At 43.7% G+C, this 18,186-nt stretch overlaps 2 long non-coding RNA genes across 8 annotated transcripts in view, besides 2 other annotated features; one reads left to right on the plus strand and one right to left on the minus strand.

Annotated features, from left to right (window-relative positions):
• Positions 1 to 18,186, plus strand: part of LOC107985960 (uncharacterized) — a 119,748-nt gene that overhangs the window by 64,121 nt on the left and 37,441 nt on the right. For all 6 annotated transcript variants that reach the window (XR_001739773.3, XR_001739775.3, XR_007087297.1 and 3 more), the window contains one exon: positions 8,804 to 8,969. This is a non-coding gene — a long non-coding RNA (uncharacterized LOC107985960). The remainder of the gene's footprint in view (positions 1 to 8,803; positions 8,970 to 18,186) is intronic.
• Positions 336 to 980: an enhancer, noted in NCBI's record as "NANOG-H3K27ac-H3K4me1 hESC enhancer chr2:173179610-173180254 (GRCh37/hg19 assembly coordinates)". NCBI's record gives its function as "activates a minimal SCP1, AML or CMV promoter by ChIP-STARR-seq in naive H9 embryonic stem cells {active_cell/tissue: H9 hESC(naive)}" and the evidence as "EXISTENCE:reporter gene assay evidence [ECO:0000049][PMID:30033119]".
• Positions 981 to 1,624: an enhancer, noted in NCBI's record as "NANOG-H3K27ac-H3K4me1 hESC enhancer chr2:173180255-173180898 (GRCh37/hg19 assembly coordinates)". NCBI's record gives its function as "activates a minimal SCP1, AML or CMV promoter by ChIP-STARR-seq in naive H9 embryonic stem cells {active_cell/tissue: H9 hESC(naive)}" and the evidence as "EXISTENCE:reporter gene assay evidence [ECO:0000049][PMID:30033119]".
• LOC105373742 (uncharacterized) lies at positions 8,714 to 16,036 on the minus strand. Of its 2 annotated transcripts, XR_923581.3 has the most exons (4): positions 15,824 to 16,032; positions 15,080 to 15,304; positions 11,550 to 11,662; positions 8,714 to 9,590 (listed from the first exon to the last, which is right to left on the minus strand). It is a non-coding gene; the product is annotated as an uncharacterized LOC105373742 (long non-coding RNA). The 2 variants fall into 2 exon arrangements; XR_923583.3 differs by lacking the exon at positions 15,080 to 15,304 and having other exon boundaries at positions 15,824 to 16,036.

An 18,186-nucleotide genomic window follows, 5' to 3' on the forward strand; every position in this document is an offset into this window, starting at 1 on the left:
ATGGATATAACACTATTTTAGCTAGGATTTGCTATGATGCCTACAGTGTACATGGCAAAGTTGGTGTCAGAACTGAGAATACTCTGGTCTATAGGATCCAAGGGGAAGAATCCAAAGAGGAAGGATTTTTCACCAGTTGAACAGTGGTCCTTGGGTCCAGTGCTTGATTCTGCTTTAATAAGACCATTATTGCCACATTCTCCTACACTGTGGACTGTTTAGAATTTACAAAGTGTGCTTCTAAGAACACATTTAATGTGTGCTCTGATAACACATTATTCCATTTCTAGGTTTCTTTTTGAGATCTGAGCATGTTTAACTCAATTTCTTTGTGTAGGATCTGTGTTAAGGTCTTTGCATGTTTAGTAGAATTCTATTTCCAACTGCAAAAGTCTTTTTAGCAGAATCTTTTTTTTTTTTTGAGACGGAGTCTTGCTCTGTTGCCCAGGCTGGAGTGCAGTGGCGCGATCTTGGCTCACTGCAATCTCCGCCTCCCAGGTTCACACCATTCTCCTGCCTCAGCCTCCTAAGTAGCTGGGACTACAGGCGCCCGCCACCAAGCCTGGCTAATTTTTTTGTATTTTTAGTAGAGATGGGGTTTCACCATGTTAACCAGGATGGTCTCCATCTCCTGACCTTGTGATCTGCCCACCTCGGCCTCCCAAAGTGCTGGGATTACAGGCTTGAGCCACCGCACCCGGCAGCAGAATCTTTTCTTTGTCGCGAGGAGCCAAGATGGCCGAATAGGAACAGCTCCGGACTACAGCTCCCAGCGTGAGCGACGCAGAAGACGGGTGATTTCTGCATTTCCATCTGAGGTACCGGGTTCATCTCACTAGGGAGTGCCAGACAGTGGGCGCAGGTCAGTGTGTGCACGCACCGTGCGCGAGCCGAAGCAGGGCGAGGCATTGCCTCACCTGGGAAGCGCAAGGGGTCAGGGAGTTCCCTTTCCGAGTCAAAGAAAGGGGTGACGGACGCACCTGGAAAATCGGGTCACTCCCACCCGAATATTGCGCTTTTCAGACCGGCTTAAGAAACGGCGCACCACGAGACTATATCCCGCACCTGGCTCAGAGGGTCCTACGCCCACGGAGTCTCGCTGATTGCTAGCACAGCAGTCTGAGATCAAACTGCAAGGCGGCAGCGAGGCTGGGGGAGGGGCGCCCGCCATTGCCCAGGCTTGCTTAGGTAAACAAAGCAGCCGGGAAGCTCGAACTGGGTGGAGCCCACCACAGCTCAAGGAGGCCTGCCTGCCTCTGTAGGCTCCACCTCTGGGGGCAGGGCACAGACAAACAAAAAGACAGCAGTAACCTCTGCAGACTTAAGTGTCCCTGTCTGACAGCTTTGAAGAGAGCAGTGGTTCTCCCAGCACGCAGCTGGAGATCTGAGAACGGGCAGACTGCCTCCTCAAGTGGGTCCCTGACACCTGACCCCCGAGCAGCCTAACTGGGAGGCACCCCCCAGCAGGGGCACACTGACACCTCACACGGCAGGGTATTCCAACAGACCTGCACCTGAGGGTCCTGTCTGTTAGAAGGAAAACTAACAACCAGAAAGGACATCTACACCGAAAACCCATCTGTACATCACCATCATCAAAGACAAAAAGTAGATAAAACCACAAAGATGGGGAAAAAACAGAACAGAAAAACTGGAAACTCTAAAACGCAGAGCGCCTCTCCTCCTCCAAAGGAACGCAGTTCCTCACCAGCAACAGAACAAAGCTGGATGGAGAATGATTTTGACGAGCTGAGAGAAGAAGGCTTCAGACGATCAAATTACTCTGAGCTACGGGAGGACATTCAAACCAAAGGCAAAGAAGTCGAAAACTTTGAAAAAAATTTAGAAGAATGTATAACTAGAATAACCAATACAGAGAAGTGCTTAAAGGAGTTGATGGAGCTGAAAACCAAGGCTCGAGAACTACGTGAAGAATGCAGAAGCCTCAGGAGCCGATGCGATCAACTGGAAGAAAGGGTATCAGCAATGGAAGATGAAATGAATGAAATGAAGCGAGAAGGGAAGTTTAGAGAAAAAAGAATAAAAAGAAACGAGCAAAGCCTCCAAGAAATATGGGACTATGTGAAAAGACCAAATCTACGTCTGATTGGTGTACCTGAAAGTGATGTGGAGAATGGAACCAAGTTGGAAAACACTCTGCAGGATATTATCCAGGAGAACTTCCCCAATCTAGCAAGGCAGGCCAACGTTCAGATTCAGGAAATACAGAGAACGCCACAAAGATACTCCTCGAGAAGAGCAACTCCAAGACACATAATTGTCAGATTCACCAAAGTTGAAATGAAGGAAAAAATGTTAAGGGCAGCCAGAGAGAAAGGTCGGGTTACCCTCAAAGGAAAGCCCATCAGACTAACAGCGGATCTCTCGGCAGAAACCCTACAAGCCAGAAGAGAGTGGGGGCCAATATTCAACATTCTTAAAGAAAAGAATTTTCAACCCAGAATTTCATATCCAGCCAAACTAAGCTTCATAAGTGAAGGAGAAATAAAATACTTTATAGACAAGCAAATGCTGAGAGATTTTGTCACCACCAGGCCTGCCCTAAAAGAGCTCCTGAAGGAAGCGCTAAACATGGAAAGGAACAACCGGTACCAGCCGCTGCAAAATCATGCCAAAATGTAAAGACCATCGAGACTAGGAAGAAACTGCATCAACTAACGAGCAAAATCACCAGCTAACATCATAATGACAGGATCAAATTCACACATAACAATATTAACTTTAAATATAAATGGACTAAATGCTCCAATTAAAAGACACAGACTGGCAAGTTGGATAAAGAGTCAAGACCCATCAGTGTGCTGTATTCAGGAAACCCATCTCACGTGCAGAGACACACATAGGCTCAAAATAAAAGGATGGAGGAAGATCTACCAAGCCAATGGAAAACAAAAAAAGGCAGGGGTTGCAATCCTAGTCTCTGATAAAACAGACTTTAAACCAACAAAGATCAAAAGAGACAAAGAAGGCCATTACATAATGGTAAAGGGATCAATTCAACAAGAGGAGCTAACTATCCTAAATATTTATGCACCCAATACAGGAGCACCCAGATTCATAAAGCAAGTCCTGAGTGACCAACAAAGAGACTTAGACTCCCACACATTAATAATGGGAGACTTTAACACCCCACTGTCAACATTAGACAGATCAACGAGACAGAAAGTCAACAAGGATACCCAGGAATTGAACTCAGCTCTGCACCAAGCAGACCTAATAGACATCTACAGAACTCTCCACCCCAAATCAACAGAATATACATTTTTTTCAGCACCACACCACACCTATTCCAAAATTGACCACATAGTTGGAAGTAAAGCTCTCCTCAGCAAATGTAAAAGAACAGAAATTATAACAAACTATCTCTCAGACCACAGTGCAATCAAACTAGAACTCAGGATTAAGAATCTCACTCAAAGCCGCTCAACTACATGGAAACTGAACAACCTGCTCCTGAATGACTACTGGGTACATAACGAAATGAAGGCAGAAATAAAGATGTTCTTTGAAACCAACGAGAACAAAGACACCACATACCAGAATCTCTGGGACGCATTCAAAGCAGTGTGTAGAGGGAAATTTATAGCACTAAATGCCTACAAGAGAAAGCAGGAAAGATCCAAAATTGACACCCTAACATCACAATTAAAAGAACTAGAAAAGCAAGAGCAAACACATTCAAAAGCTAGCAGAAGGCAAGAAATAACTAAAATCAGAGCAGAACTGAAGGAAATAGAGACACAAAAAACCCTTCAAAAAATCAATGAATCCAGGAGCTGGTTTTTTGAAAAGATCAACAAAATTGATAGACCGCTAGCAAGACTAATAAAGAAGAAAAGAGAGAAGAATCAAATAGACACAATAAAAAATGATAAAGGGGATATCACCACCGATCCCACAGAAATACAAACTACCATCAGAGAATACTACAAACACCTCTAAGCAAATAAACTAGAAAATCTAGAAGAAATGGATACATTCCTCGACACATACACTCTCCCAAGACTAAACCAGGAAGAAGTTGAATCTCTGAATAGACCAATAACAGGCTCTGAAATTGTGGCAATAATCAATAGTTTACCAACCAAAAAGAGTCCAGGACCAGATGGATTCACAGCCGAATTCTACCAGAGGTACAAGGAGGAACTGGTACCATTCCTTCTGAAACTATTCCAATCAATAGAAAAAGAGGGAATCCTCCCTAACTCATTTTATGAGGCCAGCATCATTCTGATACCAAAGCCGGGCAGAGACACAACCAAAAAAGAGAATTTTAGACCAATATACTTGATGAACATTGATGCAAAAATCCTCAATAAAATACTGGCAAACCGAATCCAGCAGCACATCAAAAAGCTTATCCACCATGATCAAGTGGGCTTCATCCCTGGGATGCAAGGCTGGTTCAATATACGCAAATCAATAAATGTAATCCAGCATATAAACAGAGCCAAAGACAAAAACCACATGATTATCTCAATAGATGCAGAAAAAGCCTTTGACAAAATTCAACAACCCTTCATGCTAAAAACTCTCAATAAATTAGGTATTGATGGGACGTATTTCAAAATAATAAGAGCTATCTATGACAAACCCACAGCCAATATCATACTGAATGGGCAAAAACTGGAAGCATTCCCTTTGAAAACTGGCACAAGACAGGGATGCCCTCTCTCACCGCTCCTATTCAACATAGTGTTGGAAGTTCTGGCCAGGGCAATCAGGCAGGAGAAGGAAATAAAGGGTATTCAATTAGGAAAAGAGGAAGTCAAATTGTCCCTGTTTGCAGACGACATGATTGTTTATCTAGAAAACCCCATTGTCTCAGCCCAAAATCTCCTTAAGCTGATAAGCAACTTCAGCAAAGTCTCAGGATACAAAATCAATGTACAAAAATCACAAGCAGTCTTATACACCAACAACAGACAAACAGAGAGCCAAATCATGAGTGAACTCCCATTCACAATTGCTTCAAAGAGAATAAAATACCTAGGAATCCAACTTACAAGGGATGTGCAGGACCTCTTCAAGGAGAACTACAAACCACTGCTCAAGGAAATAAAAGAGGACACAAACAAATGGAAGAACATTCCATGCTCATGGGTAGGAAGAATCAATATCGTGAAAATGGCCATACTGCCCAAGGTAATTTACAGATTCAATGCCATCCCCATCAAGCTACCAATGACTTTCTTCACAGAATTGGAAAAAACTACTTTAAAGTTCATATGGAACCAAAAAAGAGCCCGCATCGCCAAGTCAATCCTAAGCCAAAAGAACAAAGCTGGAGGCATCACACTACCTGACTTCAAACTATACTACAAGGCTACAGTAACCAAAACAGCATGGTACTGGTACCAAAACAGAGATATAGATCAATGGAACAGAACAGAGCCCTCAGAAATAATGCCGCATATCTACAACTATCTGATCTTTGACAAACCTGAGAAAAACAAGCAATGGGGAAAGGATTCCCTATTTAATAAATGGTGCTGGGAAAACTGGCTAGCCATATGTAGAAAGCTGAAACTGGATCCCTTCCTTACACCTTATACAAAAATCAATTCAAGATGGATTAAAGATTTAAACGTTAGACCTCAAACCATAAAAACCCTAGAAGAAAACCTAGGCATTACCATTCAGGACATAGGCGTGGGCAAGGACTTCATGTCCAAAACACCAAAAGCAATGGCAACAAAAGCCAAAATTGACAAATGGGATCTAATTAAACTCAAGAGCTTCTGCACAGCAAAAGAAACTACCATCAGAGTGAACAGGCAACCTACAACATGGGAGAAAATTTTTGCAACCTACTCATCTGACAAAGGGCTAATATCCAGAATCTACAATTAACTCAAACAAATTTACAAGAAAAAAACAAACAACCCCATCAAAAAGTGGGCGAAGGACATGAACAGACACTTCTCAAAAGAAGACATTTATGCAGCCAAAAAACACATGAAGAAATGCTCATCATCACTGGCCATCAGAGAAATGCAAATCAAAACCACTATGAGATATCATCTCACACCAGTTAGAATGGCAATCATTAAAAAGTCAGGAAACAACAGGTGCTGGAGAGGATGTGGAGAAATAGGAACACTTTTACACTGTTGGTGGGACTGTAAACTAGTTCAACCATTGTGGAAGTCAGTGTGGCGATTCCTCAGGGATCTAGAACTAGAAATACCATTTGACCCAGCCATCCCATTACTGGGTATATACCCAAAGGACTATAAATCATGCTGCTATAAAGACACATGCACACGTATGTTTATTGCGGCACTATTCACAATAGAAAGACTTGGAACCAACCCAAATGTCCAACAATGATAGACTGGATTAAGAAAATGTGGCACATATACACCATGGAATACTATGCAGCCATAAAAAATGATGAGTTCATGTCCTTTGTAGGGACATGGATGAAATTGGAAACCATCATTCTCAGTAAACTATCGCAAGAACAAAAAACCAAACACCGCATATTCTCACTCATAGGTGGGAATTGAACAATGAGATCACATGGACACAGGAAGGGGAATATCACACTCTGGGGACTGTGGTGGGGTCGGGGGAGGGGGGAGGGATAGCATTGGGAGATATACCTAAGGCTAGATGACGAGTTAGTGGGTGCAGCGCACCAGCATGGCACATGTATACATATGTAACTAACCTGCACAATGTGCACATGTACCCTAAAACTTAGAGTATAATAAAAAAAAAAAAATTAAAAAAAAAAAATAATAAAAATAAAAATAAAAAAAAAATAAATAAAAAAAAAATAAAAAAAAATAAAAGAAAAAAAAAGAATCTTTTCTTTGTCTTCCTTTTATTTAAAAAAAATCAAAATGAAGCCTTTTCAGTGCAAAATTTTCAGAAAAATAGCTCTCTTTTCCATTGCAACATTGTGCTGAGAACATGCGTGTCTTGATTCTGCCTCTACTTTTCAACGCATGGCAGCTACCTTAGTTCAGGTTCTTATCGTCTCTTTCATTATTGTAATTACATGGCTACTTTTCTTACCTCCATTCTCATTCCCTTTCCTATCCATCAGCCACACTATTGTTAAATTGAACTTTGAAAGTACAGGTCTAAGAAAGTTGACGACACACAGCCAATGATGTGTAGAAGCAAGCAATCTCATAGATGTTGCGGGAATGAATTAGCGCAGCCTCTTCGAAAGGCAATGTAGTAATGTCTATCAAAGGTACAAGTATGGTCACCCTTTGACTCAAAGTTCCACTTCTAGGAAATTATTTTACAGATATTCTTGTACCTGAAAAGATGTACGTGTAAGGATGTTCATTACAGCATTGTTTATAATGACAAAATATTGGGAACAAGGTAAAGGACCATTGGTAGGAGCTATCCAACTTGGGAGTTGGATAATGGAATTTGTAAAGGCCATCTACTGGTTGCTACCCTAGTATTCATTCCCTCATGCCCCTCCTAAGTGTTGACTGGTGTTGACCCCACTCTTATCTCCGGGGGTGGACACCAACTGGTGGAAGCCACTCACTCAATCCATCATATTTCCCTGGCCACAGTAACTGTTTCATATATAATGACATGTTGTCTAAGTAGAATGAATCAGAATGGATATGAAATAGTTTTAGCCACATGGGTAAATCCTGGAGCTTCTGGGAGGCCTGAAGATGGAGATACTCATGGAAGCATAGCCTGCTGATGTCAAGCTGGGTGGCATGCTGACATTTGGTGAATTCCCTTTTGGTTTTGGTTTTAACTGGTGAGAAGTGAGTTGTCTTTCACAATAAAGACCCTACGTGCTAAAAAAAAAAAAAAAAAAAAAAAAAGCCAAGTGGCCGTGAAAGAAAATTAGGTGGATCTTCTTGTGTTCATGTGAATGATTTCCATGATACTTTATAAAATAAAGGTATTATACTATGAATATAGAATATATTCTCTTTTATATAAATAAAAAGCTGTGAAAATGGGTGAGTGCCTATGCGTACACGTGCATGTGTGTGATGTATATAAATGGCTTCAGCTAGCCTATGTAGTACCTTTGTTTTCTGTTTTGTTTTTTTTTTTTCTTTTCTTTTTTTGAGACAGAGTCTTGCTCACTCTGTCCCCCAGGCTGGAGTGCAGTGGTGCGATCTCGGCTAACTGCAACCTCCACCTCCCGGGTTCAAGCGATTCTCTTGTCTCAGGCTTCCAAGTACCTGGGACTATAGGCACCCATCACCACACCCAGCTTATTTTTGTATTTTTAGTAGAGATGGGGTTTCACCATGTTGGCCAGGCTGGTCTTGAACTTCTGACCTCAGGTGATCCGTCTGCCTCGGCTTCCCAAAATGCTGGGATTACAGGCTTGAGCCACCATGCCCAGCCACGTGTAGTACCTTTGAACAAATTAGGAAAAATGTCCTCTCTGGTATATGTAGCACCATGCCAGTGGCAAGCAAGTGTGCAATGGATTTTAACCTCCTCTAGTCTCCTTGACTGGTGGCCTCATGCAGTATGCAACCTGCACAATAGTATGCTGTGGTCATTTGTGTATAAATATATATGCCTGCCTATGATGCTTCTGGTTGGATATATGTAAAACTAGAAAGAAAGACTGCTTCTAGGAAGGGAAGACAGGGAGCTTGGTAGTAGGAGGTGGAAAGGAGGCTTATCTCCATACCCCATTTGGAGAGTGTTTAATGTTGTTACTATGTTCACAAACTGCTTTTCAAAACTAGTTTATTTAAATAAACAAAAGGAAAGCAAACGAAAAATGACAGGTTTGTTTTGTTTTGTTTTGTTTAAACCACAGGTTTGATCTCAGTTACTCCCTTACTTGAAGAAGGCTTCGATGATTCCTCATGGAGAAATCCCAGATACTTCTGCACATGATTCAGAGGTCCCTTACAACTGGCTTCAGCCTGCCTTCCAAGCCCTGTCTCTCGCCTCTCCCTTCCTTCACACTGTGCTTCAGCGAGGTAGGAATGCTTGTGATTCACCTTCCAGGTCAAGATGATTGGCCCCTCGGCCTTCACATATGCTGTTCCCTCTGCTGTTCCCCATGCTGCCCCCAGGGAGCTGCCCATCACCCGCCAGGACCTTCCTGCCCTGGGTGCACCCATAGTGCTTTGTGCCTTTCTCTTTCTTGCCACTTGCCACATTTTACTGTAGTTATTTGTTTATAATTACAAATATAAACCTGCTACTCTAGGAGTAAGCTCTTTGAGGGACCTGTGTCTCCCTGGACCTACGACAGTCAGTGCTTGTGACACTATGGGAATAGGCGCCTCATAGGTGTTCCATGAATGAATGGAGGTGGCTTCAGATTCCAGCTTTCTTTTTACTAAGCTGCTCTATCCCTTTCAGATTTCTTTTTTTTTTTTTACAGCTGCAAATTTTTATCTATTCTTTGCCTCTCTGCCCAGTAGCAATTAACCAGGTTGTAGCAGATCTAGAGTTTCCAGCTCAGCCCGGATTGTGTTTCCTTGCTCTTAGCAGCTCAGGGGAATCTTTTTTCACTTCACGAAGGATGCATCTGAGATTCAGAGCAGGTTCAGTGACCCTTTTATTAATTCTTTGTCTGCTCCGACACGCACAGTCTGTCATGAAGTATTCATCCAGTTCAGAAAATTGAAAAAGCCAGGGAGAAGAGAAAGAAAAGGGAATCTGTGAAAATAGAGTCAGTCACTTCAGCATCTATCCCACTCAGCAGTCTGCCCCCTTGGTGAGCCTCTTAACCTAGAGACTTGTTCATGAGCTATTCCCTTGGAGCCGTCTTTCCCTTTAAATAATAATCAGGCCCAGTAGAAACCTGCGATGAGTACATGAAATCAGCGAGGCTGAGACTTTCCAGGAAACAGACTCAGGGAGGCAATGGCTCACTCATTCACACAGAGGCAATGACCAGGCTTGCCCAGGGAGGACCGAACCACCCAGGGGCTGACCGTGGCCGGGAGCATCCTAGGTGATCAGGAAGACCTGATGGTGGTTGACTGGCTGATGGATAAGGAAAATGATGAGCCACTAAACCCATTTCTGGAGCAAGGATTGGTAGAGGGTGCTCGCTGTTGAGGTCTGGGGAAGATAAGGTGGCCAAGGAGTCAAACAGCAGGTTCAGGGCTGCTACTAACCTATATAGCGTCTTTGATTAAATCAGAAAAAAAGCAGCCCTCTGGGCTAAAAGGACCCCTAGAGCACAAGGCTTGCAAGTTGGAAGCACCTCTGTCCAAAGAAAGAAGGCTCATCACTCTGGGTAAACACAGCCCCATGTCGCCAGGCACCTAGATCCCGGCTCCCACTTGCCTTTTCAGTTGGTAGCCATTATATAGCACATCAACTGCACAACCATACCTGTGGCCTACAGGGTATCATAGCTCTGGGGGCATTTAGAAAGGAAAGGTGAGAGAAAAGTGAACTGATTATGGGTAGCAGATTATAACTACCATCGTTTAGGGTTGTTTATTTTTAAACTGTGGAACTCCCTATTAGAATCACCTAAGATACTTGACGGGTAAGAACGCATATTCCTGGGACTCACCTCAGACCAACTCGATCAGACTCTTTGAATGGTGAGGTCCAGCAATCTGGATTTTTAACCAGCCCCCTAGGTGCTTCTAGTGCCCACTAAAGCTTAAGAACTGCTGGTGTAGCAACTGTTCCATCAGAAGTCCTTGGGGCTGGGCATGGTGGCTCAGCCTGTAATCCCAGCACTTTGGGAGGCTGAGGCGGGTGGATCACCTGAGGTCAGGAGTTCAAGACCATCCTGGCCAACATGGTGAAACCCCGTCTCTACTAAAAATACAAAAATTAACCAGGCATGGTGGCGGGTGCCTGTAGTCTCAACTACTCAGGAGGCTGAGGCAGGAGAATCAAGGAGGTGGAGGTTGCAGTGAGCTGAGATCGCACCACTGCACTCCAGCCTGGGTGACACAGCAAGACTCCATCTAAAAAAAAAAAAAAAAAAATTCCTTGAGATCTGTCCATCTGGGAATCTAGAACTATCTGACTGGACTGAGAAAAAGCCATCCATCCATTCCCTGAGCTCTGCAGTGTCCGCTCCTCACATGTCCTTGAGGCATTTCCTGGAGGTTGCTTCTCTGGAGTTTGTGGCTGATGTAATTGTTTTTCCTGGCTCTACTGCTTTGCTATTTCTAAGAAACACCTTTAAAAGTAACAGCTTTTGGCCATGCATGGTGGCTCACGCGTGTAATCCCAGCACTTTGGGAGGCCAAGGCGGGCAGATCACGAGGTCAAGAGATTGAGACCATGCTGGCCAACATGGTGAAACCCCGTCTCTACTAAAAATACAAAAATTAGCCGGGTATGGTGGTATGTGCTTGCAATCCTAGCTACTCAGAAGGCTGAGGCAGGAGAATTGCTTGAACCTGGCAGGCAGAGGTTGCAGTGAGCCAACATCACGCCACTGCACTCCAGCCTGGATGACAGAGGGAGACTCTTGTCTCAAAAAAAAAAAAAAAAAAAAAAAGTAACAGCTTTCAGGATAAAAACTCTAGGAATCTTGAAACAGAGAGTAGTACGACTCATAATTCCACACTCACCCTTCCTTCTTTGGCTCCTCTCCTGTCTACTGGTCCTGTGATAGAGAATGTTTCAAGTTGATCCATTTTAAGGAAATTGCCTGGAGATGCTGCATTTTCATTTGGTTTCCAGCCTATATGAAAGTTAAGTTACATTTTGCTGAATTCCAAATGTCCAGTTTGCTTTGCTGAACTGGTTATTTATGCCATTTTGAGTAATGCTTGAAATATGAATGTGGGGCCAGGCTTTCATGCCTATAATTCCAGCACTTTGAGAGGTTGAGGAGGGCAGAGCCCTTGAGCCCAGGAGTTAGAGATCAACCTGGGCAAAAAATGCCATCTCTACAAAAAATACAAAAATTAGCCACATATGGTGGTGCATGCCTGTAATCTCAGCTACTCGGGAGGCTGAGGCCAAGGATTGCTTGAGCCTGGGAGGTGGAGGTTGCATTGAGCTGAGATTGCACCATTGCACTCCAGCCTGGATGACAGAGCAAGACCCTGTTTCTAAAAAATAAAAAATATTTAAAAAATAAAGAAATATGAATGTGATCAGCCCATGCCCAGCCATCTTTCTTTTATTTAGAGAGTTTTGCTGGATCAGTGAAATTTTAGCTGAAACCATAGTGCTTACAGCTTATGTTGCAGGCACCCACTGTTCTGGGCCACAGGTCAGTGCTTATATACCTCCCTCCCTTGGGGGATGAAGTCATTCATAGATGCTGTTCGCATTGTTGCTCTTGTGCCAAGCAAGGTACAAGATACACTAGTGTGAGAGGTTGAGCCCATGCCCTGACTTCAGGAAATTTCATCTCAGCCCTTGTTTTGCAATATGGTAGCCACCAGCCACATGTAACTATGGAGCACTTCTAATATGCTTAGTCCAAATGGAGATGTTCAGTAAAGGTAAAATACACACTGGATAATGAGGACCTAGTAGGGGGAAAAAGCATGTATAATATCTCATGAGCAATTGTTTTATATTACATGTTGAAATAATATTTTGGCTATACTAGATTAAATAAAATATATTATTAAAATTAATTTCAGGCCAGGTATGGTGGCTCACACCTGTAATCCCAGCACTTTGGGAGGCCGAGGTAGGCAGATCACCTGAGGTTGGGAGTTCGAGAGCAGCCTGACCAACATGGAGAAACCCTGTCTCTACTAAAAATACAAAATTAGCCAGGTGTGGTGGCGCATGCCTGTAATCCCAGCTACTCGGGAAGCTGAGGCAGGAGAATCCCTTGAACCAGGCAGGCGGAGGTTGCAGTGAGCCGAGGTCGCGCCATTGCACTCCAGCCTGGGCAACAAGAGCAAACTCCATCTCAAATAATAATAATAATAATAATAATTTCATCTGTTTTTTTCTTCTTTAATGAGACTACCAGAAAATTCAAAATTAATAGATGGCTGGCACTATATTACTATTAGACCATACTTGTCTAGAGGGTGAGAAAGATAAGTCCTTGATGGTCGTGAAGCAGTGTGATTACTGTTGGGACGGGGAAGGAGAGGGTGAGCTAGGAGCAGTTTGAAAGGGCCTTAACTGAGCTTTGGCAGCTAGGGAAAGGCTTCCGGGAGGAGATGATATCTACTTCAGATGATGAGTAGGAGTGAAGTGAAGAATGAGATGGTGAGGAGTGTAGGAGGCAGTGGGGCGCAGTGTGTTTGGGGAGCTTTAAGCAGTTCAGCATGGCTGTAGTGGAGTGTGGGGGAAGTGGGGAGAAATAGGCTGGAGGGGTGGGAGGGGCCAGGCCGTGCAGATGGGGGACTCTGTTTCTTTCTGCTGGGGCAAGCTATGACCTCCTTTTCCTGGAAATGGGATTGGAGTTGTTAGAGATGAATGGATATTTGGTTTCCTTTCCACCTGGCCTGGGCAACCGAGTTGGGGAAGAAATGCTCAGCAGTGCTGAGGGTGGGGAAAAGTGTTTAAATTTTTGCCCCTTTTTCCAAGGGTAGAACTGATGAGTTAGAGCAGTTCTTACCAATGAGATGAATTCTATCTTTATGAAAGTTGGAATCTTTGGAATATTCCAAATATATTAATATTTTGAATATCTTAGGTTAAATAAGATATTAAAATTAATTTCAAATTCAAATTAATTTTAAATTAATTTGATTTCATTAAAATCTGGAATATCCAGATTTTAGCCTATTTTATTGACAGAGGAGGTGTGATTTGCAATAACAATGCTCTTAAAAAGGATTACCATCATCATCATCACCATCATCATCTTCATCATCATCATCCTTTTGAAGCAAAAGAATCCAAAAGGAGTAACAGGGATGACATTTAAGGTTCAGAATTCTATAGGGATGGTACAGCCCGGGTCCTAAAGCAAGGATATTGTACTATTTTATCATCTTGTAGGGTGCAATGCATCCAGAAGATAAAGGCCAAAGATTATACATCAGAGAACCACCAGAATCTTTCTGTTCTTGCAGGGAGCATCTTTACTCACATGGCTATAGTCACCGAAATTCCAACCGAGTAATAAACTAAATGCCTGGGTGTGGGATGTTCAGAAGTTTCACTTCTTTGTGTGGTTTGGCTTTGCTCTTAACACACAGGAAAATTGTTAGCATCTGAGAGTTCACTTGTCTGGAAATGGTTAGTTTTCACATTGCCTTCTTTGCCTTGGGGTTTCTCTGGGGGAAGGTGGGAGGGCAGATTTTGTCCAGAGCAGTTTCCCACAGATGAATGTTCTTTGGCCCTGGAAGGCTCACAGCTGCATTACTTCTACCTAAGAAGAGGAGATTCTCCAAGGAAGGGGAAGTTTTTAGACGATTGTTCATTTATTCTTCCCATTTATTGAGCACTTACTATGTGCCAGGGCCTATACTAGTCACTGAGAATAGACAGATGAGTTAAAGGGGAGCCCTTACTCCACTGAGCTAATAATCAGGTCAGAGAGACTAACATAGAATGAAATAAGTTGGCTATGGTGTGGTTCAATGTTTTAGGAAAGTTATGCACAGCAAGCTCTGCAAACCCAAGGGAGGAAGACATTCAAATTCCATGTGGATGGGGGAGAAAGGGCAGGAGAGTCTTCACCTAGGAGGTAACATTTCAGCTGGGCCCTGAAATGTGAGCAGAAGAAGGTAGACACAGTGGGGAAGGCTACCCGAGGTGGTATGAAAGCACAGGGCTTGCTTGGGGAGTTGTGGGCCTGTGCATAAAGTGTTGAGGGATGAGACTGGACAGATAGGGGCTGGAAGAGCTGGGAAGAACCTGGAACGGCATCCCTATGGATGTGGGCTTCTTCCAGGAGACTTTTCAGTTGGCGGGTGACAAGATCCAGTCTGTTTTTGAAAGGACTCCAGCAGAGCTGAAGCCTAAATGGGAGGGGAAGGAATACTCAACAGTCTGGGGCCAGGTGAGCTGGAAAACCACACCTGTCTGCAGTTCCTTCCTCCTCTCTGGAAAATGTCCAGCAAGTCCCTTGGACCACCAGGCAAAGGTGAGCTTCTTAGAGTGGAATAACCTTCTAGCTCCTTAAACAGGTAGCCTATGGGGCACGTGTCATTGGGATTCACAGACAACTTACCCTTTGTCTGCTGATGACAGACTTTCCCTTTGTCCACACTCCATGGTTAGAAAGAGCCTTAGTCACCAAGTTGGATGGTTCATTGCATCCCACCATCCAGCCCACTGGGGCCAAAGTTGCCTGGCCGGGGCTTGGAGAGCCTGGTCCTTTCCTGGTGCCTGTGTCTTTAGGGCTGGCTGGGAGGCTGGACTGTCTCCACTGATGTGATGCTGGCCTTTATAACAACTGCGAAGTGGCAGAAACCTTCGTGAAACGTGAAGTTTCCGTTGGCCGCCTGCCACTGTTCCCACTGCACACTGACGCTCCACCCGAGGCAGGATGCCCTGCCCTGCGGAGTGGTTGGAAGTGATAAATACATTTGTTTTTGAATTAAAACCTTTCCTGGCATGGGGAGGAAATGCATCTGCAGCTGGCCTCGTCTCACTGCTCCCCAAGCCTCCCCAAGCAGGCTGCCATGCCAGCCTGCTCTCTGTGAGCCTGGCTTTTGCACTGGAGGCCTGGGTAATGATTACATTGGCTTACTGGAGCCCAATACTCCAAGGGCAGGGGCACTAGGATGAAAGGCCGTCGAAACAGCTTATCAACATCAAAGCTACCCTAATCACACCGCTCCAGTTATCAAAGCCCAGCCCAACCCTGCTCCTCATGTCCCTTATTATGGCAATATGCTCTGTTTATTTCCACCCTGTGAGTGGCAGGAAGTCAGATGGTCCCCAGATACCCCTCAGGAGGCTGGACACTTACCCAGCTGGTGAAGCAACATTTATTTCACTCTTCATCTGCTTAGCAAAGTTGAGCAATTGGGTGCCTTTTTAAGAGGTTTCTGTGAACTCCAAACCCCAGATGCAGCCATGATAGTAGGAGTGCCGATGGCAGGAGCAGGTGTGCCCAGGGAGATGGATGGGGTGGGTGAAACTAGGGCAGGCCTTCCCTGGCCGCTCCACAGGGCAACTGGCAGCCTGTATTGTGAGCACTCTTGTATGACACATCCATGGACAGGTGTTTGCTAAGCAACCTACATGTGCCAAGTACTATTGTCCATTTTGTGAGCGAGAAACTATAGTTTTAATTTAAGCTGCATTGTATGGTAATAATGAGGAAATTGTTTGGCTAGCCAATTCTGTTTGGTTGATACATACTGGCTAATTTCTGGGGAGACAGAAATTATGATATTAACAATCATTTGCTCTTTATTGTCCCAGCCTGGTAAGATATGTTATCCTTCGATGAAAAACACAACCCAAAAGTTTACCCTTAGTTGTCTGTTTAGGTATCACTTAAAGAGGGCTGAGGGCCATGGATTTGCTGAATTAACAAACAGTATAATATTGCAGTTAAGATAGTTCGGTCTGGAGACACACCAACTGGGTTCAGATCCTCCCAAAGCTGTGTGACTTTGGGCAAGTCACTCCACTTTCTCGAAGCTTGGTTTCTGCATCTGTAAAAGGGAGATACGAATATGACCAACCTCATTAGGTCATTGTGAGAATTAAAAGAAAGCCCAAGAAAAGGTACTGAATGACTATTCAGTAATATTGTTAAGTGCCTACTCTGTGCTAGGAGTAATAGAGGAGAATATAGTCCCTATCTGCAGGTGTTCCAAGTCTAGTGGGAAAAATAGATATTGACACAGGATGCTAAGCATGGAAATACAGGCATGTACAAAATCCCTTCCAACTTGAGTATCTAACTTCATGGAGAAATTGAGGAGGGATTTGCAGAGAAGGCAACCTTTAGCTAAACATTGAAGGGTGGTTAGGAGTTCACCAGATGCAAAAAGATCTGAAAGAAACTTCTGGACAGTGACAACAGCTTTTACAAAGGCAAAGATGCAGGAAAGAGCATGGCCCAATCTGGGAACTATAGGAACTGATAGAAGAGGAAAAATTTTTAAGGATAAAATTGTGATTTTTCATAGAATTATAAATTGTGTATCAAATATTTTATTTAACTCAATTCATGAGAAAACAAGTAAGATGTTAGAAATAGTTCAAAGAAAAATCCAAAGAACGCTCATATATAGGTGATCAGAAATGCTGAACAGAATTTAAAATAGATGCAAAAGTGGTCCATATCTACAGGGCAATAATTTACTGCATCTTGAGGGATGCATTTACACATTTAAGGCCAAAAATCATTTGCATCACTTTCACTAATTTATAACTTCTAGTAATAAAATATAAAATAGCACGGAACAAGGGAAATTGAAGACAGCCTAGTAGGGAGCATTGGACCGGACACCCAGGAATCTTTTCAATTTCACACTTCAAAGTCTTCCACGATTTTTCCTGACAGAGTGGATTCTTTTTATTGGAGAACCAGAGGGCAGGGTGGGGAGGGGATGAGAGGGAATTGAGGCCTGAACTGTGGGTGGGGACCAAATCACAAGGAGCCTCGCTGGCCATGCTGGGGAGTCTGAGTTTTATTCTGCAGCCCACAGTGTGAAGGATGGATGCGGTGGTGCTGAGGCTGGAAGACTGGGCCCAGGGGAGAAGTGAGGAGGTCCTGAACCAAGGTGGCAAGAATAGAGATGGAGGCATGGGGTTGAACTGGGTATGAAGCAAAGGGGATGTCCAGGGTGTCTTAGGTTTCAGGAGGAGAGGTACATGACCAGGTCATTTGAGGGGGCTCTAAGGAAGAGCTTTTCTTTATGTGCACCCCAAGGGTGATGTTTTCTTGGGAGGCCTTCATTGCATTTGTTAGAAATTTGGGAGAAGGAATTTTCTTATAGGTAGCTTTCCTGGAAAAGAATGTACATCTTGATTTTCTCTCTTGGTTTATCTAAATACTCTGATTTCCAAAATATACCAATTTCTATCCCAAATCCATTTGGATCTCTTGATTCAAATAAAGAGATTGGAATGTTTTCTCTAATTGCCCCTGTAAATACACACACACACACACGCACGCATGCACGCACCCACCGTATCCATTCTCCTCCCTTCTCTGTGACTTCCCCAAATGGTATCAGCTGGTTCCCTTGTCCTCTGTCCTGATTGGGTTTGGTGCCTGGAGAGTGGGATGAGAGACAGGTTAGAGTTGTATTTATTTCGCCAGCCTCTGCCTGCTTTGGTGTGGTGCTGGCACAGCTGTGGCGGTCTCTGACG

Source organism: Homo sapiens, chromosome 2 (genome assembly GCF_000001405.40).
Source record: "Homo sapiens chromosome 2, GRCh38.p14 Primary Assembly".
NCBI lineage: Eukaryota > Metazoa > Chordata > Mammalia > Primates > Hominidae > Homo > Homo sapiens.